Source organism: Homo sapiens, chromosome 10 (genome assembly GCF_000001405.40).
Source record: "Homo sapiens chromosome 10, GRCh38.p14 Primary Assembly".
Lineage (NCBI taxonomy): Eukaryota > Metazoa > Chordata > Mammalia > Primates > Hominidae > Homo > Homo sapiens.
In genome coordinates, this window is record NC_000010.11 from 47453380 (window position 1) to 47477241 (window position 23862).

At 51.4% G+C, this 23862-nt stretch overlaps 1 protein-coding gene across 14 annotated transcripts in view, besides 1 other annotated feature; it reads right to left on the reverse strand.

Annotated features, from left to right (window-relative positions):
• Positions 8411-9066: an enhancer, noted in NCBI's record as "H3K27ac-H3K4me1 hESC enhancer chr10:48276917-48277572 (GRCh37/hg19 assembly coordinates)". NCBI's record gives its function as "activates a minimal SCP1, AML or CMV promoter by ChIP-STARR-seq in naive H9 embryonic stem cells {active_cell/tissue: H9 hESC(naive)}" and the evidence as "EXISTENCE:reporter gene assay evidence [ECO:0000049][PMID:30033119]".
• The window catches only part of ANXA8 (annexin A8), a 523804-nt gene continuing 514555 nt past the window's right edge, over positions 14614-23862 (reverse strand). For 5 of the 14 annotated variants that reach the window (XM_006717951.4, XM_011540096.1, NM_001271703.2 and 2 more), the window contains 9 exons: positions 23702-23815; positions 22853-22943; positions 22114-22193; positions 21566-21625; positions 20926-21019; positions 20591-20686; positions 18754-18812; positions 17883-18005; positions 14614-15527 (listed from right to left, as the gene is read on the reverse strand). In XM_006717951.4, coding sequence (XP_006718014.1) covers positions 15468-15527; positions 17883-18005; positions 18754-18812; positions 20591-20686; positions 20926-21019; positions 21566-21625; positions 22114-22193; positions 22853-22943; positions 23702-23815 — 777 coding nt within the window. In that variant the 3' untranslated portion in view covers positions 14614-15467. The other 9 variants (XR_002957008.1, XR_945805.1, XR_246202.2 and 6 more) reach the window with 9 other exon arrangements.

Below are 23862 nucleotides of genomic sequence, written 5' to 3' on the forward strand. Positions count from 1 at the left end.
ATGTAGTAAAGCACTCTGAGGCCTGTGGAGAAGAGGGGCCCACAAAGGAGAGTCAGGATGGCAACTCGCTGCATCCCCACAATCCCAGCACCCCCAAAGACACTTGCACTCACCACACACACATGCACACACACACCACACACATGCACCACCACACACACACACACACAATCACACAGACACACATATGCACATCACACAGACACACATATGCACATATGCACACACACACCACATGCACACACAAGCACACACATGCACACACACCACATACACCCCGCACACACACATATGCACACACATGTGCACTCACACACTCCATGCTGAGCATGCAGGAAGACAGACACACAGCTCTCACAGCTGGTCTCCCTCTACTGGAAAATTCTTTGCCTCTTCACCCCATTCCCCTCTCCTCTCCCTCATCCCTCCTCCACCTCAGAAACCCAGCAAACAAGGCAGAGCAGAGGGAACACAATTCAGGCCAGACCCACAGCTTCCCCACACCATCTTCCCATCACCTGCATTTACTGAGGTCAGACCACAAAAGCCCTCTGGGGCCACCATGCAGCTAGAGGGTCCAGTGAGCTGCTGGGGTCCTGAGTAGTTTGAGGAGAGTCCCCTAGAGTCCCGTAAGCAGCAACTTCTGGTGCAAGGGCAGCCTGGGGCAGGCCGATGTGTGGGGCAGCCTGCCAGCACCTGCCACCCAGTGCTGGAGGCCGGGAGCACTGGAGAATGGAAGGACAGCACGGCTCAGCCAGGACCCAGGGGCCCATCCAGTCCTGACCCTGTGCACAGGCTGGAATGCTCTGTGCCTTCCCTCCTAGCGTGTAAGCATGGTTAGGTCCTGGGGGTTTGGATGTGCTCAGCATCCTGCTTGGCACATGGCAAGTGCTGAATTCATGTTATTTCACATTCTCCACCTGTGCCCAGAGACCTTCCCCATCCTTCCCAGGCTTGAGCTTTGCCCCCACTGGGGTCCCCAGCAGAACCCTAGGAGAGTGGGCAGGGGCATGTAGCAGGAGGCGGCTGAGAGGACCCTTTGGACACTCACTCCCACTCTCTGAAAGAACAGGCTCAACAAGGCTGCCAGCCCTCAGCGAAGCCCATCCATTGTCCAACCAGATGCCAAAGGGGGAAATCACCACCCTCTGGGTTGTGCTAAAGATCAAGGGGGAAAGACCTATCCAGCGCATCTCGGAAGTCCCTAGGCTGGGCAGGGAGGATGGACTCCCCTTCCCTTCCAGCAAGCAGGGAGCTCCTCTCATTGCTGGCTTTGCTTAGAAGTTGGTGGGCTGGGGTCTGCATTCCCTAAGCATCAGCATCCAGAGGGAATGAGAAAAATCAGAGGGAGTTCAATGGTTGCCTCCCCAACGGGGTGAGCTGAGGATGTTGGAGTGAGCTGAGGATGGTGGAGTGGGCTGAGGATGCTGGAGTGAGCTGAGGATGGTGGAGTGGGCTGAGGATGGTGGAGTGAGCTGAGGATGGTGGAGTGAGCGGAGGATGCTGGAGTGGGCTGAGGATAGTGGAGTGAGCTGAGGATGCTGGGGTGAGCGGAGGATGCTGGAGTGACCTGTCCTGCTAGACACTTCTCATGTGCTCCTTGTGCACAATATCCTGTTTCTGGTTTCTGTCTCGGTCAGCAGTGCTGCAGGGCAGATGCTGCTCAGGTCTGTCTTTGGAGTTATTCCACCTTTTGTCTTAAACTCTCTGTTGTGTTTCATTTCTCATTGATGAATTTTAGAACTTTGGTCCTTTTAAAACTGCATTTGTATTAATTAGCTGTTCTTGTCATATAATTTTATTCCTTTATCTTGTTTAAACATTTCACACTCCCTCATTTAAATATTCCTTTTAGATCACTCCATTCTCTTTACTTTCTGGGACTTGAATCTCCTTGTTTCTTGTATTTGCTGCCTCTCTTTGGGATACCTGGGAGTTTTTCCTCTGCGCTCCTCTTCAGTAGAAAATGACGTTCCATGAGAATCCTGGTTTCCCTGGATGAGGACGGTGTCTCCCGGGGAGAGTTTCCCGTTTGGCTTTGTTGGAGCCTGGCAGGTTCTCTCAGTTGCAGATGGGTATAATGTTAGCTCCTCAGCTCAGAGTTTCTGCACCAGCTCACCGCAGACTTGGGGCCCTGGTTTCCCACAGATGCCCAGGGCAGGGGGCCTTCCTCTGTGCTAGGTGCTGCTCCGTGGTATTTGTTCCATGACTCTGCAAGCATTGTTTTAAAAATCAGTTTGTAACATCGGCCTAGTAAACAAATGTAACACTTGTGTCTCCTGGAACAATGGACTGTCACCACCCCCTTCTCATCTTCATGCCAGTCCTCAGGGAGGCCCCTGCGCCACTGATGTCTGAGGCCACCAAGGCAGGAAGACCCTGGGGGGAGGGTAAATGGGAGATGCCTCTCAGCCCCTGTGCCTGCTGTCCCCTGGGCCCCAGGGTAGAGCTTCTGCAGACTTTGTTCCTTCCCATTTCTGAGACAGCCTGAGCTGGGGCCACCCTTCCCTTCATGGAGTCCCAGCTGTCAAACAAACACCTCCAGGGCCATCTGCTCTCTGAGCAAGAGTTTTCCTCCTGGGATGCCCCCACCCACCCACAGAAGCAGGGATATAGGGAAGAAAGGACCAGGATTTCTGGTTGCAATAATTGTATCCGTGAGTTTGAGACTCCCAGATTACCTTTGGACTCATGAGCTGAACTGCTGGGCATTCTGGCCTGGATGTCCCTGGAGCCCAGAACCTCCACAGGGATCATGAGCAGGGGGTCACTGCCCCAGAACAATGAGGGCACCCACATGGTCTACCCTGGCTCCTCACTCGTCAGAGGAAATGACGAGATTCCAAGGTCCCCTCCGGTATTGCAGGCTGGCCTGAGCCACAGGGTCCTGACCCAGCATGGCATCAGACGCCTGGAGCTCATCCTGCAGGAGCAGCCATAGAGGAGTCCCCGGGTGTGCTGGGCAGGGGGGACATATTGAATCTCATTCACTCTGGACAGCTGTGGTCTCTGCAGAAGCCAGGAGGCCTGTGGCCCCCAAACTACCCATAACGATGCAGTCCAGCTGGAACTGGGGCCTTTTGGCTTCAAAACATGTTGGAGTCTTTCCCCAGAGCCCCATTGTCTTTTAGAAATTACCACTTAGAGAGGGTAGTGCTGCTGATAAAGCTTGGCATGCACTGAATTGTGTCCTCCCCAAATTTATGTACTAAAGTCCTAACCCAGATTCCTCAGAATGCAGCTGTACTGTGTTTGGAGAGGATTTGTAAAGGTTAAATTAAACAAAGTCATTAGGGTGGGCCCTGATCCAGTACGACTGTTGTCCTTATAGGAACAGTTTAAGAAACAGACATGCACAGAGGGAAAAGCATGGGAGGACACAGGAGGAAGGCGGCCATCAGCAAAACCTGGCTCCATGAGATTCAGAGGAAAACAACCCTCCCCACACCTTGACCTTGGACTTGCAGCCTGCAGAATTCTGAGGAAAAAAAAAATGTCTGTTTTTTTGTCACTCAGTGCGTGGGACTTTGTTCTGGCTGCCTAGTGGACAAATACAATGGCTTTGCTGTTAACAGCCCAGACCCATGCTTCCTGCACATAAGGCATGGGACTCCCTCTGCCCAGGCCCAGCCCTGGTCTCTGAGCTGGCATGAGCTCACCAGGTAGGCTGCAGGCAGCAGGCAGGAGTGGGATCTGATGGAAGGGGCGGTGCCAAGGCAGTGAGGGTGGCAGAGGGATGCTTGCTTTCCCATGTGGCTCAGCTTCGTGGAAGCATCTGGAGCAGGAGTAAAGGAAGCAAGGTGACAGGGGCCACTCATGGGGAGACAGGTGAACAGGCTCCTCCACTTGCTGGAGACAACTTTGGGGACACCTGCTCTGCCCACAGCCACACCCTCAAACTTCTCCATACCCCGTGCTGGGTCCAGCAGCAGCCCTGATTGTATGGTATGACCTTGGTGGTCAGATCAGGCATAGACAGCTTGACCCAGACTATGGGATCAGAATCTCTCCCCAGCAAAGTGGCCATGGGGTCATCTGAACAGAGGATGAGCAACCGCAGACTGCAGGGCTACTAGCAGCCAAGTACACAGAGAGGCAGAGGTGGGGAGAAGACAGCAGAGCTGAGGCCGCATGGCCCAGGGAGCAGGGAAACCTGAAGGAGACCCCAAGCAGGGGTCCTGTGGGCTTTCCAATGTCTGGTCCTGCTGAGGCCTGGCTGCCCGGGTGATCATGAGCCAGCAACCTATAGTCACTACAGTCCTGTCCTTCTGGTCTCCTCTTGGGTCCTGCCTCTGCATAGCCTGTAGCCAGGCTCAGGCTGGGATCTCCCATATGGACTCTAAGGCAGGCTTTCCTATACTTTCCATGGAAATTCTCCAGCTGATAGAGGAAGTGAACACCCCAAGCTGGGGCCACATTCTCAAGTGGTCTGTGAAATTTTTGCAAGGTTTGTGGTTCATCTCAAAGATTCATAATTTCAAAATGGAATTCTTGATAGTTAGAGAGATTTTTCACATAACCCTGAAGGGCTCCTCCTTCTCCAGGGTTGGGTCAAAGTCTTGTGTCCAGAAGCCCCCTGGTCAGCAGTCCTCTTGGTTTCCCCAATCACCCACTGTCCAGCCTGCATGGGTCCTTCAGTCCAGGGCCATGGTGAGGCTGGGTCCCTGGGCCTGGCACCATCTAGACACCCCTTGGGGGTCCAGTGACGTGCAAGCTACATCTCTAACTCCCTGACCTCTGCCTTCTCTACCTCCCTGCCCACTCCCTCATTCAGAGACACTGAGCATCACCTCTCAGGAGTTTCCATCTTAACACAAGATGGAAGAGAGTTTCACTTCAGGCCACTGTTCCCACTGTGTCTTAGTCCATTTGGGCTGCTCTAAAGAAACTACTGCAAACTGTATAATTTTTAAACAACAGGAATTTATTTTAAACAGTTCTGGAGGCTGGGAAGTCCATATCAAGGCAGATTGAGTTTCTGGTGAGAGTCAGCTCTCTGGTTCATTGTTAGCATCTTTTGGCCAATAATGTCTTCTGTGTCCTCCCATGGTGGAAGGGCTGAGGCAGCCCTCTGGGACCTCTTTTATAAAGGCACTAATTCCATCCATGAGGCTCCACCCTGGTGACCTAATCACCTCCCCATACCTGCACTTTCTCATACCATCCCTTGGGGGTTAAGATTTCAATATATGAATCTTTAGGGGACACTAACTTTCAGGTCATAGCATTTGGACTTTCACCATTGCCCCACCCCCCAGCCCTGTACTTCTTGGGCCTTCGGCCTCAGACTGAGTCACACCATTGACATTCTTGTTTCTCTAGCTTGCAGATAGCAAACCGTGGGACTTCTCAGTCTCCATAACCACATGAGCCAATTCCTATAATAAATCTCCTCTTGCATATACCTGTATATAGCCTGTTGGTTCTATTTCTCTGGATAACCCTGGCTAATACACACTGCAAGCACCTGTGCAATACCAAGGGCCTGGCCATCTGCTTGAAATGTAAAATAGAAAACCTACGTGCACACACACACACACACACACACAGAGAGAGAGAGAGAGAGAGAGAGAAAGAGAGAGAGAGAGAGAGAGGCCCTGCCCAGAGCCTTTAGACTTTTAAATTTTCAAATAATCGTAGATTGACAAGAATTTGTGAAGGGGTCCCAATATCCTTCACCCAGTTTCTCCACTGTTTACATTTTACATTCTACAGAACAATATCAAAACAAGGAAACTGACATTAGCACAATGTGTGTTCTTCTATTACATTGTATCACATGTGTAGATTCCTGTAACCACCAAGACACAAAACTATCCCATCATCCCAAGATCTCTCCTGCTACCTCTTTGTAGTCACACTTCCCCACCACCGCCTCTAACACCTGCCAACCACTAATCTGTTTTCACTGTTTATAATTTTGCCCCTGGAAGAATGTTATACAAGTGAAATCGTACAGTATGTGACTTTTTGAGATTGGTTTTTTTCACTTAGCCTAATGCTCTTGAGATCCATCCATTTAGTTATTTGCATGAATAATTTGTTTCTTTTTATTGCTGAATATTGGCATAGATGTGTCACTTAGTTTAAGCATTCACTTAGTGAGGGACATTTTGGTTCTTTTCTAGTTTCTGGCTATGATAGGAAGACACAGGAGAAAATCATCTGGACCTAGGAGTTGAGGATGAGTTCATAGGCATGGCACCCAAGTACGATTCATTAAAGAAAGAATTGATAAATTGGACTTCATCAAAATTAAAAACTTTGCCTCTGCAAAATATTCTGTTAAGATGATGAAAGGACAAGCTATGGAGGGGAGAAAATATTTGCAAACGCGTATCTGACAAAGGACTCACATTTACAATGCATAAAGAGCTCTCAAAACTCAACAGTAAAAAAAAAATCTAATAAGAAATTGGGCAATAGACATGAAGAGACATTTCATGGCCGAGTCAAATCAGCATGTGGAAATATATTTAACATCATTAGCCTTTGGGGAAATGCAAATTGAGATCATGAGAAATCACTGCACACTTATTTGAGCAGTTGAAATAAAAATATAATGATAAAACCAAATGCTAGCAAGGATGCAGAGAAACCAAATTTCTCATCCCTTGCTTGTGGGAATATAACATGATACACACAGCCACTCCCAAAAATAGATTGACAGTTTCTCAAAAAACATGCACTTACCATATTACTCAACAATCACATTCCTGGGCTTTTATCAGAGAAATTATAATTTAAGTTTGCACAAAAAGCTACACACAAATGCTCATAACTGCTCTATTCGTCATGTTTTTATTGGCAGGTAATTTACATACAAAGAAATTCAAAAATCTTAAATTTCACAATTCAATGTGTTTTGTCAAATGCCTGCACTCCTGTCCCTCCCCCACTGTAAGATTTACAACACTCTAGCACCCCCAAAAAGTTATTTCATGCCCCCTTCAGCTAACCTCTACCATGCCACTCCATCCATAAACCCCAAAGCAACTATTTAAAAAAAAAAAAAAAAAAGGCAAAAACCGCAATTACTTTTGCACCAACCTAATACTAGTCTGATTTTTAAATCACAGATTCATTTTCATATAAATGGAATCATACAATGTTTATTCTTTCATACCTGACTTCTTTCATTCAGGAACACGATTCAGAGCTTCTGCTGTGCAGTAGGGGGCATCAATAGTTCATTTTCTTTTTATTGTCTGCTACCATTCCATTGTATGGATTCAACCTAGTCTGTTTATTCATTCTCCTGTGAATGAATATTTGGGTTATTTCTAGTTTTTGTCTTTTATGAATAAAGCTTCTATTTTCATCTTTTCAGAAGTCTATTTGTTAGATATGAGTTTTCACCTCTTTATCCTTGGATAAAAACCTAAGGATGGACTCGCTGGATAATATAATAGGGTATTTGTTTAAATTTACAAGAAACAACCAAACAATTTTCAAAAGTGTTTGCGTTCTTTTCCTTACTCACTAGAAATACATGAGGTGGGCTTGTTTGAAGTTTGTGGATGTGTATGCGCTTCTCATGTGTGTACTGGCATTTGTCTATGTTCCTTTGTGAATAGTTTACCCAAGCCTTTTGCTCATTTTAAAAAACTGAACTTTTTGTTGAGTTATAGGAATTCTTAAATACTCCAGAATCAGGAATCAAGTCACTTTTTTATGTTTTATGCATATTTTCTCCTAGTCTTTTACTTGTCTATTGACTTGTTTCTTACTGATGAAGTTTTTTTTTTCTCACGGCTTAAGTCCAAGGTGTGTCTTTTTCGTCCAGCCAGGTGGCCCCGGCAGGTCGCTCCTCAGGGACCCACATGGGCCAGGGCGGTGCAGCAGTGACCCACAGGGGCCAGTGCAGTTGAAGTGGCTTTGAAACCTGATTGGAGAAACAGACTGCTCAGCTATGAGAACACACAGCGCTCCAGAAAACTGGTGTTCAACACAACGCGTCACTCTGGCTTCCACTGCTGCTGCGGAGAGTCAGGTTCTCCGGCAAGGCCCCGCGCGCCCGCCCCCGCGCGCCCGCTTCTCTGTCCAGGGAACGCCTTTCTGCGGGCGGAGGCGGCTACGAGGGGGCGCTGCGAAAGCGGATTTCCAGGCACGCCTGGCGCCACTAAGCGGCGCTGAGACGGCGCTGCCTCCTGACTGCCGGTTGGAGGCTACAGGGGCTCTGGGGCAAGGGCGGCTTTTAGGAGTTTGCTGGTCACGAGGGGGGACGCGACCTCGTCCAAGATCTGTCTGCAAGGGACCCTTCCCAGCCGATGTGAACACAGCCCGGGGAAAGGGGCCGTCCGGGGAGCAAAGGCAGCCCGGGAAGAGGAGTAGGGGCTGAAACCAAAGGCAGCCTGGGTACCCAGGTTTTCCCAGGGGACAAGTCCCCCGGTTAGCTGGGCACAGGGAGGCATGGAGAGCGGCAGCAACTGCGTTGGGATGGGGCGGCTGCCCCAGGTTGGGGCGGTGACCCATGTTCCACCAGGCCAGGCGCAGGGCTGAGGTGGCCGACTCCTGTTTCACAAGTGAAGACCTGGTCACCCCAGCAGCAAGGCATTCCGGAGTGGGAGAATTCCTGAGTCCTGGGGAGGAAGCCGTGGTTACAGGGCTGTGGCCCTGAGCAGGAGCTGGCTGGCCCAGCAGGGTGGGCCGAGCACTTCAGTCAAGGCTGAGCGCCAGGCACCAGGGACTCAGGTCTGAGAGACCTGATGTACATCCTGCTCCAGAGCAGATCACAGAGATGCGCCCGCATGAATCCCCAGGCTAAGCCCAGAATTCCGTGGAAGATGCCCATGGGCCAGGAACACGGGTAGTCACCGCGCTAGGGCATCACACAGGGCCCCCCTTGGCCAAATACCACGAGGGAACTTGGACACCTGCATGGGGCCATGGAAGTGCCTGCAACCTCACACTCAGGCCTAGGGCTTACCGAAGTATTGCAGATATTTGTGTTCTCAGAGTAGGAGCTTAGGAATCAGTATCTTCTCTTCACTACAGGGACAGAGATGCAGTGGCCTAGGACACATCACAAATATTTAAAACGATGTCCTTGGTCAAGGACAGAGGTAGCCAAGGCCAGCCTTCTCCCAGGAAACTAACCCAGGACCCCAAAGCACAGAGCTGTTAGGTGGGAGGGAATTGGTCTGTATGTCTCCCTATACTGTTGCAACACTTCGGCGCTGGGCTCCCTGTCCCAGACTCACCTTCCATACTCAAGCCAGAGGCTTACGAAAGCCGGGTTAAGATCCTCCCCTGCCTGTCCCTGTAAAGCTTCCCCACTGTCTCTGGAAATCGTTTGAGCTTCTTAGCCCCACAGCATGAGCCCGCTCTGACTCAGGCCCTGACAAGCTCTTTCTCTTCTGTCTCTCCCTCCTCTGTTGATATGGACACACCATTCCTTTGGCATGTCTAGTACAGACCAGATCCCCTGCTGTTGTTAGCATTCCTCCCTCTCCCTGGAATGTTCTTCCTTATCTGTCTACCTGATAAGCACTGAGTCATCCTGCAAAACTCTGCACAGCTTTCACCTTCCCTGAGGAGCCTCCCCTGGCCAGCCCCACCCTGTTGCAGGCAGAATGCTTGGCGGTGGGTTGCTGACCAACGATGTGGGTTGCTGACCACAAATCCATTCCCCCTTTATTCCTTGCCAAGGGAATGCTGATTTTGCTCAGGTTGTCAACCCTCAGGGAGGTGACCCTAAACATGCCAAGTCCAACACACTAGCTCTACCCCCTGAGAGCATGAGAACAACACGGATGGGCGTGTGCCCGGATCTGGCCTTGCCCTCATGGACTGCAGGTCAGGGGTGGGAAGCTCTTATAGAGCAGCCCCAGGAGCCCTAGGGGCCATCCTGCTGGCCATGCCATGGCAGTGTCAGAACCCCAAACAGCACCTGGGGTGAAGGAGCTACTGAAAGAGTGGAGAGACTCCACTTTGTCCTGTTAGATCTGTCTCAGAAGTATTTTTATTAGGATTGACTGGGGAAGCTTTCTTCCACAGGGAGCCTAAGGGGGCCCAGAGAGTCTTCTCAGAATTGGAGGCCATCAAGGATTGGCTCAGGCTTGCTGGCTACTAGGCTCTCCTGTTCCCAAAGTCCATACTCTTGTTTGTTGTTATTCAAAAATATTTGTTGAAAGCCTGCTATCTACTAGGCCCTGAATGTTTAAAAACAAATAAAGTTCCTGCCTTCAAGGGGCTCACAGCTTTTCTGAGAGGACACGTAAACAGATAAAATGTCATTAGGGTGTAGTTCTGTGTAATAGAGAGTGTTCTTAGGTGCTGACAAGAGCATCTACTCTGTAGTTTAAGCAGAAAACAAATGTATGAAAGGCTATTGGACGGCTCACAGAATTCTGTGTGGCACGAACACTGTGTCTCAAATCATGCTGCAGGACAAACTTGGGGCTCAGTATGCTGGACCATGTTGTGCCTTCTCTCCCAGCCAGTGCTGCAATGGAAGAAAAGGAATTCAGCTCCTAGGAAATGCAAAACATTGATCTGAGGATAGAGAGGGAGTATATGTAGATATCATCTCTTGGAGGGAATTAAAAAGCAACGATGATAGAGCTATGGCAAGGCTACAGGTAGGGAATACCTATGGCAAAGAAAAACCAGAGCTAGACGATAAAGTAGTAAAACCAGATTTTATTCAGGACTATTGCAATAAGCGAAAAGAGACCTCAATATACAGTCAGGCTGATTCTAAAAACAGCATGAGAAGTTGAGACTTGGAGCCATGGAGCAGGTAGGAGTTGAAAGATGGAAAATTACCAAGAGGAAATGCCAGGGGTGAGGGTGATGCTGGCTAAACTGACCTAACAGGAGACCTGCTGAAGAAAGGCCAGGGTGACCAGACATCACCTGGGAAGGTGGAGGATGAGGACCCTGATCGGATATTGGGAGTGGTCAGATAGGAACAAGGGGAGTTCTTGCTGAATTGACTTAGTGGGATTCTTGCTCAAATTGGATTTTACAAGAAAGTACACAGATGAGCCTAGAAGGTTCAGGAGCCTGACTCAAGTTTGCTCAAGTAAAGAAACTTTGTCACTATTCCCTTATTTTTCCCCTATGCTGAAATTAAACTAGGCAGACTCCAAATTATCTTTAAAAACATAGGTGTATTTTTAACAAATTCCAAAGAGCAATTGCAAAAGCACCTGTGGAGCGTGTCTGCTTTACCAGAAGTGCCCAAAAGGTTACTCCAGCAAAAATGATTAGCAGGTGCTGTGGATGCTGCTGGTGTCCTGGCCAGGGCCCCTTTGCTTCCTTCCCCAGGTGCCATGGGGGTCACCTGGAGGGAGTCAGCACATGGGGCCGTGACCCCTTACACCCATGCTGCTCCAGCTCTGACCCCAGGCAGAGAGAGCTTCCCCTCTAATCTGAGGAGACCTCTTGCTTCCAGGCCTGTCCCACATTTCTCTGCTGGCAGGGAGGCAGTGGGGGTGATGTCCATTCTGCCCCATCAGGGGAGATGATCAACTTCATGACTCTGCTTAAGCAGATCCCCTTGCTGGGCATGTACTTGGACTTGACCAAATTTCCTTGGCTGCAGCTCTTCTCAAGGCTCCTGTTTGGCCACATGAGGCCTGTTTTGGGGTGGGCTGCAAAAGAACCCATCGAACCAGTGGTCAGGGGAGCTTGCAGGGCAGAGAGATCCTCTAAGTCCTTCCTTCCTTCCTTTCTTTCTTTTTTCTTTTTCTTTTTTTTTTTTGACAGAGTCTCGCTCTATCACCCAGGCTGGAGTGCAGTGGCACTATCTCTGCTCACTGCAATCTCTGCCTCCCGGGTTCACGCCATTCTCCTGGCTCAGCCTCCTGAGTAAGCTGGGACTGCAGGGGCCCGCCACCATGCCCAGCTAATTTTTTTGTATTTTTTAGTAGAGACAGGGTTTCACCGTGTTAGCCAGGATGGCCTCGATCTCCTGACCTCGTGATCTGCCCACCTCGTTCTCCCAAAGTGCTGGGATTACAGACTGAGCCACCACGCCTGGCCCCTCTAAATCCTTTCTAAAGAGTTTTGGCAGAAAGCAGCTAGGCAATGGCTCAGAACTGAAAGCAAGTCTGCACACAGAGCAGGACTTGAACTGAAAGAAAGGAATAAGAATTCTCACCCAGGGCTGGGATCCAAGAGACGCACACTGATACAACTACTAAAAGGTTGTTAAACTCCCGAAGGGCCCCTGCCTTGCTGTGTTACAGTCTGATTGTGTATTGTTGAAGCCCTTACCCCCAGTTTGCTGGTGTTTGGAGATGAGCCTTTGGAAGCTAATTAGGGTTAGATGAGGTTATGAGGGCGGGGCCCTCATGATGGTATAGTGATCTTATGAAAAGAGCAGGAGAGAGAGAGAGAGCTCTTCCCCCCGTGAACACGTGTAAGCACAGAGGAAAGGTCATGGGAGGACGTGTCAAAAAGGCAGCCGTCCGCAAGCCAGGAAGAGGCCCTCCCCAGGAACTGAATTGATCTTAGACTTCCCAGCCTCCAGAACTGTGCAAAATAAGTGTCTGTTATTTAAGCCACCTATTTATGGTATTTTGTATGTCAGTCTGAAAAGACTAAGACATGTTGGTGAATAGCTGCTGCACCCCCAACACCCAGGAGCCTCCCCTGGGGCCCCACAGACACCCTGCCATCCAGCACTAAGGGTTGAGGCCTGGCCCTGCAGGGGCCGCTACTCGAGCTCTGCTCCACCCCTGCAGACAGCAGCCATTCAGGTGAGTGGGTTGTGCTGCACCAGTTGTTAAATATTCTGAGCACCACTTGTGGTGGATTTAAAAACAGTCCCCAGATTCGTTGACACTCTTCTCATTGACAGATTGGGTCTGTGTCCCCTTTCCTTGAAGCTGGGGTGGCTTGTGGTGTCTTCAACTGATAGGGCACCGGGGAAGTGATGCCATGTGACTCCTGACGCTAACTCACAGAAGGCAATGTGGTGTCCTTCTTGTCCACTGGGAGACGGTGGAGCCCTACCACTTGCTACCCTGAGGCCACCATGCTGGAGAAGCTACGTGTAGGAGTGCAGGGGACAGTCCCAGTTGAGCCTGGCCTTCCAGCCATCTCACCAGGGGCCCAACATGTGAGTGAAGAGGCATCCAGATGGTTGCACCCCTCTGCCCTAGAGTCACCCAACCTTCAGGTCTTCCCAACTGAGACTGAGTCCCCTTACTTGTTGGGTCAGAGACAAGCACCTTGCTGTGCCCTCCAGAACTGCTGACCCACAGAATCTGTGAACATTATACATGAGGATTTTATGCTACTGGCTCTGGGGTGGTTCGAAAGGCAGCAGTTGTAACTGGGAGCCCACCCTGTATAGAAATGTGAGGAAACTGAGGCTCAGAGAGTAAGTGACTCAGTCACTGATATAGTTTGGATATCCCCTCCAAATTTCATGTTGAAATGTGATCCCCAGTGTTGGAGGTGGGGCCTGGTGGGAGGTGTTTAGGTCAGGGGGCGGATCCCTCATCGCCTGATGCTGTCCTCACCATCTTGAGCTCTAACAGGATCTGGCTGTTTAAAAGTGTGTGGCACCTCCCCCCACCTCTCTTGCTCCCACTCTCGCTACGTGATGTTGGCTCCCCCTTCACCTTCTGCCATGACTGTAAGGTCCCTCCAGAGGCCTCCCCAGAAGCTGAGCAGATGCCGGCACCATGCTTCCTATATAGCCTGCAGGACTGTGAGCCAATTAAACCCCCTTTTTAAATAAATTACCCAGACTCAGGTATTGCTTTATGGCAACACAAGAATAGCCTAACACAGTCAAAGTCATGGAGCTGGTGCAGGGCAGAGCCAGAATCTGCCTCCCGTCCAAGTGAATTCAGAGCCCACGCTATTCCCATCTCCCTGATCAGGCTGGTTCCTGGGCACACGCTTACCCCTCAGGGCCACTTGAGGGGAAGTTTGCAAACTGGAGCATGTTCAGGGGTGATGGCCCCAAACAGGCTCCAGGAGGGACCACTGAAGGGACTGGGGACACTGGGCTTTGACAGAGGTCATCGCAGAATTTGTGGGCCTTCTTCAGATATCCAAAATGTTGTTACTGGGAGGGAATAAGTGTTGTGGCCCTAGATGGCAGAGGTGTGGGCTTGATGCGGCTGATTTTGGTTCAGGTAAAGCAAGAACTTTGCTGGTCACATCCATTGGAAAAAGATTGGGCTGTCAAAGGACGCAGTGAGTCCCATCTTTGGAGGCAGCCAAGTGCACCCGGAGTACTCAACTGCACCCTGAGTATCGCCAGTACACCCTGAGTACCCAAGTGCACCCCAAGCACACCAAGGACCACCCCTGGGTGGATGCCAAGGGGGTAGTCAGGCCACAGGTTGGAACAGCACCAGCTGACTTTAAATCCCTCTCTAACCCTGAGATACAAGGATGTAGCCTACACATCAGGAGGTGAATAGAATCTACCCTCATTTGCAAGAGTTGTCCCCAGGGCAGCGGTGGCTGCAGCCCATCCAGTGTTCCCACTGGGAGATGCCCATGAGGTGCTCAGGTACAGCCCATCCAGTGTTCCCACTGGGAGATGCCCACGAGGCGCTCAGGCTTCGTGGCTCCCCAAAGCTCTGTTTCTGACAAATTAAATTGGTCCTACACTGGTCCCTGCTAAACATCCAAAGATACTTTGAGTTGAATACAAATCTTTATTATTTTGAAAACCACAGCAAAGGCACTTCAGAATCTCCAGGTACCCAGTCTCAGTTGCCGTTCAGTGGGGACAAGAGTGGTGCTGAGGGCATGGTCACACCCTTCTGTGCTGCATGCAGAGGGGTGCAAGGCCAGGGCAGCTGACCTGGTCAGCCACCAGGGGAGCCCACGCCTCTTATAACACAGTGTCCTTGGGTCAGGAATTTGTAGTTTATTTTGTTATTAAGATGGCGAGAGAATTTTTCGTCCATTTAGAGCCTAACATTTTTAGATGAATGTTAATGGCATCTCGGTTGGGATGGATTCGTGTTCGTTTCTCAGCTGCTGAAGGATGTGTGTTCTAAAACAAAAGGGCTCCCAGCCAGCTCTCCGGCTGCATGATAGAGAAGTGTTTTGTAAGACGCTTGTTAAAAACCCATATTCCCTGGCCCCTCTTGTGGAGACCCTGTTTCAGTAGATGGGAATGGGGCTGGGGTCTGTATAACCTGTGCCCAGGAGACTCTGTGACCAGCTTGGGAAGCTCCTGCAGGGAGGAAGGAATGATCCACAAGTCCCCAAGCCCTTCATGCTGAGGCATCTGTCTGGCTGGAGAAACACTAAGGTTGGCATTGTGCTCACACTGGGAAATGACCTGGAGGAAGTTGGGAAGAGGAGTCCAGGCCGGTTCCACCCTCTGGGTCAGAAACCCGGCTGGAAAGCACTGGAAATAGGGAAATAGAAGACCGAAAGGCTGGGACCCCCCTCACACCCAACCTGCGTCCATGGCCGAGGTTGAGTGAGGAGTCCTGGAGACTCTGGCTTCATGGTCTTTGCTCTTGTTCTTCTGTGCCTCAGGGGTCGCTGCCCACCAGGCTCAGCAGGGCGTTCTTGTAGTCACCGCTGGTGTCTTCCTGTGGGCAGGAGGCGCATAAGCGTGAGAAGGGGTTTGCTTGTGCCTGGCTCGGCAGTGGCGGCTGTGTTATTATGACTAAGAGGTGTGCCCCTGGCCTGCACCTGGCCCGGCCCTCCAGGGTTCCTAGCCGCAGGGGTTGTGCCATCACCCCTCTTTCCTTGTTTTTAATTTCAGGCTATTCCTTTACATTTCCTTTTGATTCTCTTACCAACTACATGCAGGATTGATGTGGAAAATGAATCAGAGACAGTTCCACTCCTAAACAAGGAAGGGGTCAGCTGTCCCAGGGTTCTTCTATTCGGGAGCCAGGGTGCCCAGCCATTCATTTACACAACAGGATGCATCATTATTCAACACCTGCTGTGGCAGCTTGGGAATCAAGGCTGAGAGTGAGGCATCAGCACACACCTGGGGGCAGGGCCGGGGGTGGAGGGAGCCTGGACCATCGCACCCTGACGGTGTGGCCGAGGCAAGCCCCTTCACCTCTGTGGGACTCATCTATGAAATGAGATCAATGCTGTGCTGCTGTGCATCTTGCTGAGACGTGGTGAGGGTACAGCAGGAGGAAGGCGAGCTGGTCTGCCCTGCATCTGGCTCACATCGGGTCCACAGTGTTTGTCTCCTGATGAGACTGACCTTGTGGTCCGATGACTGAGGAGCCCTGTTTCTTAGATAGTGGTAGGTCCTGATGGGACTGGCTAGTCCGGGGTCTGCATACAGAGCTGGGAAATGGGCCAGGTCAGATCACCCAGATTCTTCTTCATGCAGTTGAGGACAGCGGGGCCAAGAGAGGGGAGTGAATTCATTCACAACGGCATGGTGAGTAAGGGGTAGACTGGGGCTAGACCCACTTTCCACACTCTGGACCAGTTTAGGTCTCATGGTTATTGTCTACTTTTCACCATTTAGTAAAATTTGCCTGTTTTGAGCCTGAAATCTCATTACGGGTTTCAAACTACAATGAAATTTTTTTTAACTTTTTCCTTTCTAGACACGATCTCACTCTGTCACCCAGGCTGGAGTGCAGTGATGCAGTCCTAGCTCACGGCAGCCTTGGACTCCTGGGCTCAAGCGATCCTCCCGCGTTGGCCTCCCAAAGCACTGGGATTACGGGTGTGGGCCACTACGCCTGGTGATTTTTATTATTTTGAGGACAATTTTTCGAATAGTTTTTAGAAAGAAAAGCATTAATTTTGTTTACTTTTTCAAATACATGAGTTATACTTGGAGTGTTTATACATTTGCCTCTTAATTTCAATGCAGGAGTTTTTAACTCATATTAGTGTTGAAAACCATTTTTGCTTTAATGACATCTGTGGTCTACACTAAAAAGAAACGTTTGGTCAATGTATTCATGATTCTAACTCAATTTTCTTAAGTAACAACATTAGATAAAATTTGAAGAGGGTGGCTTCATGTATCTGTAGAAATCTCTCTGATGCCGTAAGTTACCATGTGTGGTTAAAAGGGTTAATGACAATCAGCTCAGACTGTCTGCAGGTGACAGCACAGTCCAGGCTGGTGTGTGCCTTGCCCTCCTGTCTCCCGACAAGATTGGCTGGGGAGCCTCAAGTGAAACCAAGAATAATTCCAATCCTCTCTTGCCCCTGCCCACCTGTTTCAAGATGTTGCCATCTTGAAACATCTGGAAACAGAAATGTCTTTTCCACCTATTGTCAGCTATGTGTTTCTTGAAAAGTGCACTTAACAACGACATTTGCAGAAGAGCTAGAGACTTGACTTAGTAGCCAAAGAAAACTTGGGGATACATTTGTCCTAATGTGACTTCTGCTAATGAAATCATCAAGACCTCAATTTGCAGACACCCCCAGAAGAGCTGTTTCTCCCAATTATCGCAGCGTGATAATCAGTCTGTGTTTTGAAGGCTCCAGAACTTTTGCTAATTGGAATCTGGTTAGATAGTCTATTGGCGCTCATCTGACTTATCTCCTTAGAAGTTGGCCGCCAGGACTACTTAAATCTGGATTTGAGCGGTGGGCCCGATTCCTACCGGACTAGTTCATCTCATTGACTTTTCAGAGGTGGCTTCTTCTGCAAGGATTTGGTGTCTTTTCCAAGGAGCAACCATAACTTAAATGTGAAACCAACTTTCTGAGTGGGACACAGGGGAGCCTCTGTGCCCTGGTCTCTGCATCTCCCCTCTGCCCCCCATTCCCCTTGGGATCCAGCCACACTGACCTCTGCTGTTCCCTGCACACACCACATGGTCATGAATGCAAGCACATGGTGCCCACTGGGAAGGGAGGGGCTCACGTAGTGTTGGCCACAGCCTCCAGGTTTCCCTGAATGTCTGGGTTTCAGGCTGGCCTCAGCATTGGGAATGCCTGCTTACCATGATCATGCTGCTGAGGGTCTTGCCGTACATCTTCTTGAAGTGACATTTGATAAGATTTAAGTCAATCTCGCTCCTTGAAACGATGTTTCTTATCAGGGTCCCATCACGCGTCCCTGCTCCCTGGGCAAGACAGCAGCCATCAACAATCCTGCCTCACCTTTCCTGTCCATCTCTGAGTGATGGACGGATCTGTGTGGTTGGGTTCTGGGGCTTTTAGAGGGAGGGAGATGTGGGAAGGAGCCTGTGCTTCAGCCAGGGAAGCATTAGGAGGGAAGCTTTGGTGGCTTAGGGTGTCCACTCCCTTAATTCCTTCTCACCCACTGCCCAGAACTCTTCCTTTATGATGCCAAGTGCTCCAAACTGCAGTATGTTTGGTTTGCCACATCAGATTCTAGACACAAAATACTCACTGCTCCAGGAACAAGACTTCCTACTAGAGCAATGGCAGCAATCAGCTCAGCCAGGAATTTCACAGGCAGGGCCTTCCTGCTCACCTTCATCCCTGACCAGTCTCATGTCAGCTGGGGCCACATGGCCAAGGGAATCGCATGCCCTCTCTCATTTCCTGGGCAGAAGTGGCCAGAGGGCTTGGGTTTCGGGTGTGGAACTAACTTCAGGGGATATCAGCAACCATCAATCAGAGAAAACGGGCAATGGTTTTAGTTTCAGGGAATTATTCACCTCTGGAGATGCAGCGTCCCTTTCCCAGACTCAATTTCACCTCCGAGAACTAAAACCTTTCTGATCCACGACAGGTTTGGGTAAGATAACTCCCCCGTGTGGAGGATCGTGGTGGCTTTGAGCTCCTTGGCTTTGCACTTGGTGCTATGTAGGGTGAGCGTCAGGAAGAAGAAGACAGGACAGTTACCTTCATGGCATAGTAGAGTCTCTCTGCAAAGTAGCTGTGGAGGTTTTGGGTGCATTTCACTGGCAAACAAGAAAGCTGTGTTAATGTCTGGAGCTGGTAGGTGGCACTGCCTACAACTTTATGTCTTGCCTTAGGTCTTAAGAGTCAGTGTTGTGCAAGGCTTGGCATATTTCTTTGTTCCGTGCCTTTCCCAATGTGAGAGGCTTTGTGTCAGGTGGCGTGGGACAGGGAAGGTAGCCCGGGGCACTGGGCACAGCTCCAAAGGCCCAAGCAGGCAGGCAAAAGGGTAAGATGTGAAATGCACCAGACTGTGGGGCTCGTCTGAAGACACCAGCTCAAGCCCATCCAAGGGCAGCTCAGACTCAGGACAGGCCCTGGGCTCTCAACCCAGAGACACCTCCACCAAAAATCCAGCCTCTCAGCTCCACAGAAGCACCATGGGATGGTGGCTGCTGGCCTCAGAGTGCCCTCTCTCTCACACTTATCAGCAGGAACCCTGCATTTTGAATTCCCATGTGACAAGTGGAGTTTGGCCCCACAGGACTAAGGCACCTGGGGGCGTCTGGTCCAGAGACTGGGCCCATGCTTGCTCCCATGGGTACTGCTCAGAGACTTGGCATCTGGGTGGGGAAGGTTGGCATTTTCACTTAGGGCTGCAGAAGGAGCATGGGCTTTGAGTGAGGTAGGCATGTGTTCACTTCCTGCCTTGATGGTGCAGTATGGCTTCATTACTCAACCTCCCTGACTCATCTGGGAAGTGAGACTGATGCGAGGCTTCAAGGTGAAGTGAATAGGAAGGCCCAGCATGACGGAGCACTGCATGGCTTCACTATTCCCTGCTGGCAGACTTCATTCTTGGTGGGTTCAGGCCAGATCCAGGGGTGGAAGCTGAGATTGGAGCAGGGGTGTGATTAGATGTCCTGACATAGACCGGATTGTATCACAGCATCCAAGGCCAGCTGGGGTGTCTCAGATGGCCCTGTCCACCCAGAGAGGCTAGGAAACAGCAGGGAGCCTGCTGGCTGCTGGCTTTGCACGGAGGCAGCCTGGTGTGGAGGTGAGAGCTGCAGGCCAGGAGTCCGGACCTGGGCTCTGTGTGTAAGTGGGAGAAGAGACGTCCCTCTGCCCTGGGCCTCAGCTCTTTACTCTGCAGTGACTCTTCCCATTGTGATCTCAGCCCTGGAACCCATGAGAGCTCTGGAGTGGGTCCTCCTGAGTGGCCCTGACTTCCTGCTGTGGGGAAGATCCCCAGTGTTTCTCAGCATCAGACCATCCGTCACTCAGTTTGGACTCAAGCCACACATCACTGTTTCTTCAACTGGCAATGAAGGCAGGGGCCAGGCCCCTGGTTCATGTCCAGAAAGATGACTTTGTGCTGGCCAGGGCTTCACAACCACAGCCAGAGTGCTCCCTGCATGGCTGCCATGAGTACACACAGGGTTGGGGCTGGCATAATCACTGGCGTATGCATTTGTGTGCGCACACACACACACTGTCTGTCTCACACACACACACTCACATTCCACCCACAGTCATGCACACACACCCTCAGGCACACACACTCTCACGCACACACACACTCATGCAGACACACCCACACAGCACTGGGCACCACGTGGGCAGCACAGAGAACAATCTTTGGCAGCACACACTGGGACTCTAGAGGTGGAGCAGTCCCTGGGTGAGGGAGACAGGCAGAGTGTGAGTCGGGGGGACATCCCGTGAAGGTGACACAGGGATTCTTTCTCTTGTGGTCGCATCCCTAGGCCCTTTGTTCTTTGGTGCTGCCCCACGGTGAGCCCTGTGGCCTGAAAAACGTGCAAGTCTGAGCTCTTACCCACAGTGAGCATGGCCTCCTCCAGTGAGCCATGGGTCTCACTCTTGATGCTGTCCTCAATGCTCTTGTTGGCAATTTTCTCATACTCTTCAAACACTGTGGAGAGGGCTCTGCTCAGGGGATGGTCAGACCTCCTCGTGATGCCCCTCAGTGTCTCGGATCAGAGATCGCACATCAATTTGCCGCCCTGACCTCCCACTGGTGGCTGGGGAAACAGTCCTGGGCTCCCTGGCTCTCTCCCTAACTCTAGACTTGACAAGGCAGAAGCACGAGGGAGAGGCTCATGGCCAGGACACCCCCTGTGGCCCCGGCCCCAGCCCCTCCCTCCCTGGTACCTCTCAGCAGGTGAGTGGCACTGCGCGTGCACAGGATGGTGATGAATTTCATCTCATCAGTCCCACGAATCTTCTCGCCTGCCGCATACAGATCCTAGCATTGGGACACCCACAATAAGCCAGTGAGGGAGACCAGGGAGGTGAGGGACTGAGCCCCAGAGTCCCAGAGCTGTGGCCATGGCCTGGCCCTGTCCACTCTGCCAGGCCAGCATGCTCCCCTGCTTGGTCGTCTCTGACAGGGAGCTCCCCTTTCTCTAGCAGCTCTGGCTTAGAATATTTTCTCTATCCTGGGCCACAAGCTGCTCTAGGAACTGCCTGGTCCCCAGACTTCCCTCTGCCAGCAGGCAGACCTACAGAGACCCGGACACCTGTGTCCAGCACTGGGGCCTAGCGCCCCCGGGTTCATGGGCTGTTCCTGCCAGGACAGAGCTTTAGTGCTCCCCCACCCCCAAGTCACACTCCTTCCTCCCGAGTCTCCCAACACCCTCACTCTCCTCCCCAGACACCACAGGACAAAGGCCTATAGGGAGCTGAGCTGGGTGGGTCCCAGCCCAGTGTCAGAGAAAGCCCCCGTGGGCAGAGGAGCCGGAGTCCAGATGGCAGGGGGTGGGGCCACATGGCCGGCTGGGCGCAGCCTCACCTGTGCGTCTTGGAGGGCCAGTCCTGGGTCCACAAAGCTGCTCACATCATCCCTGCTGCCCTAGGAACAGAGGAGGTGGCTCTGTAAGGCAGGCCAGCTGACCAGAGCATTAAGGGCACAGGGGGGATCCTGGGCTTGGAGGGCAGGCATGGCTCTGCTGCTCTTTGGCTGTGGAAACTTCGACAAGCCAGTTATTCTCTTCAGCCCTTGGTTTCCTCATTTGTACAATGGGGGTGGTAAGGACTGCCTCATAAGGCTTGGCGGATTCAGTGAGCTAAGGTAAGCAAAGTGCCTGGCATGAGGCCTGCACGAAGGACCTGCTCTCCTCCCGCTTCCAGGATGCTCTCACATGGCTGAGTAAGGACAGGTGTGGGGGCTCTGCAGTTGGGACCCTCTAACCATGCTGAGACACACCCAATGAGCCCTGGCTGCTGGGCTATCCCATGCCCCTACCCTGACTCTTGTGGCGCTATTCAAGGGCTGCTCCCTGGGGTGGAGCTGTTGGGACTCCCAAACCAAGGCACTCCCAAGAGCCTAGGCTGTGACACCTGCAGGAGGCACACCAGGATCCTCTCCAGGTAGCCACTTGTGTCTGCTTGGATGTCCTCCTCCAGGCTGGACCCATAGTCTGCAGGGAAACAGGACCATGAGGCACAAGCAGAGGCCCACAGCCTACCCGGGGCCTGCTTTCCTCCTTCCAGCCCTGTTCCCCATACTTCTCCTTATTAAAGCCTTCTAGGAAAGAAAGTCCTTGGCACAGGGCATGGATGCAATGCCCGGGTGTCCAAGTGGCTGTCGCCTGGGTGGTGCTTCACAACTAGAAGCGACATGCGTACCCAACCAAGCTCAAAGCACAAGATGGACCAGGTCAGAGAGCCAGGCTAGGGGCTGCCAACCAAGCTCCATTTCATCTCAAGGCTTGGCAAAGCCAAAGCCTCCAGGAAAACTCCCCACTAGGTACATGATGTGGAGGACTGACTGGCCTCTGCTAGCCTGGGGTCCACACCCCCTACTACCACAGTCCTCAAGGGCAGAGATTTTAGTTGGTCACAGGCCTCTCTCCCCTGTAAGAGGAGCTGGTGAGCTTACAGATCAAGTCTGAATCATGTTCAGTGTCACCATCAGGCACAGATCTTGGCATACGGTAGGTGCTCAGCACCTGTGGGTAAAAAAGTCCCCAAAGGGTCCTTTCTAGTGTGGCCCAGGTTAATTCTTGATCCTTGTTCCCTGCCAGGCTGCCAAAGCTTGTGGCCACTCCTGAGCCCCTCCATCTGTGCCACCCCTTACCTTCCTCATACGCCTTCATTATCTCCCGCAGCTGGTTCTTGGTCCGAGAGGCCAGGATCTCAATGATGACACCCTCCTTGGTTCCTAAGCCCTGTGGACAGAAACCTCTGCCTGCTGGAGTGCTCTGCCATGACCTTCTGCTCTGTCCACACCTTCTTTTCTCAAGATGCCTGAGCCTCAGGAAGGACCTCACTGCCCTGCCCCACTTGAAGTGGGAGGATGTGATGAGAAAATCACATGCTTCAGTGATGAACATTGAGGGCAAGTGCTGTGACGGGGAAGCCCTGTCTCAGCTCTCCCTCCTTAGCTGGGTGGTCTCAGACAGGCTGCTCCATGTCCTGGAGCCTAAGCATCCCGATCCATAAACAGGAATAAGAAGCCTCCCCTGCGCCAAAGATAGATTAGGGAGCGTGGGTGTAAAATGCCTGGCAGTGCCCATGCAGCAAGTGTCTTTCCAAACAAAATGACTATAGTTACTGGGTCCCCATCCTTATTAATCTGCAAAAGCAAAGAGTAGTGAGAGGTAAAGGGAAACCCAAGGGGCTGTGCCTGGGACTGTAGAGGTGGGTTTCCAATACCACTGTACACCTGAGCTCGTGAGGTTCTGAGAAGTACTGATTTTGGCTTCATCACGGCCACTCAACGTGTCAATCAGGCACCAGTGACTCCAGGTGTTGGGTGCAGTCTGAGCAGCAGGCTGCCTGCTCACTGGGCCCAGTTATGGCCCATATGGCCATTCCAAACAGTGGCTCAAGGGGAGCTCTGGGCTGTAGGTTCCCGGTCCCCGCATTGCCCCTACCCAGTCATGTGAGCACCCCTGCCACTCCCCTGCCCTGTCTGCCTGGTTACCTTCATGGCGTCATGCAGCTCCTTGGCTTCGTATCTGTATGGCGGGTACATAAGGGCCACAATGAGCCTCTCAAACTTGCCACTGAGCTCAGACTTCAAGGTCTCAGTGAGGTCCTAATGCGGGAACAGGGAAAGGTGATATTTGTCATAAGCCAGGCCCA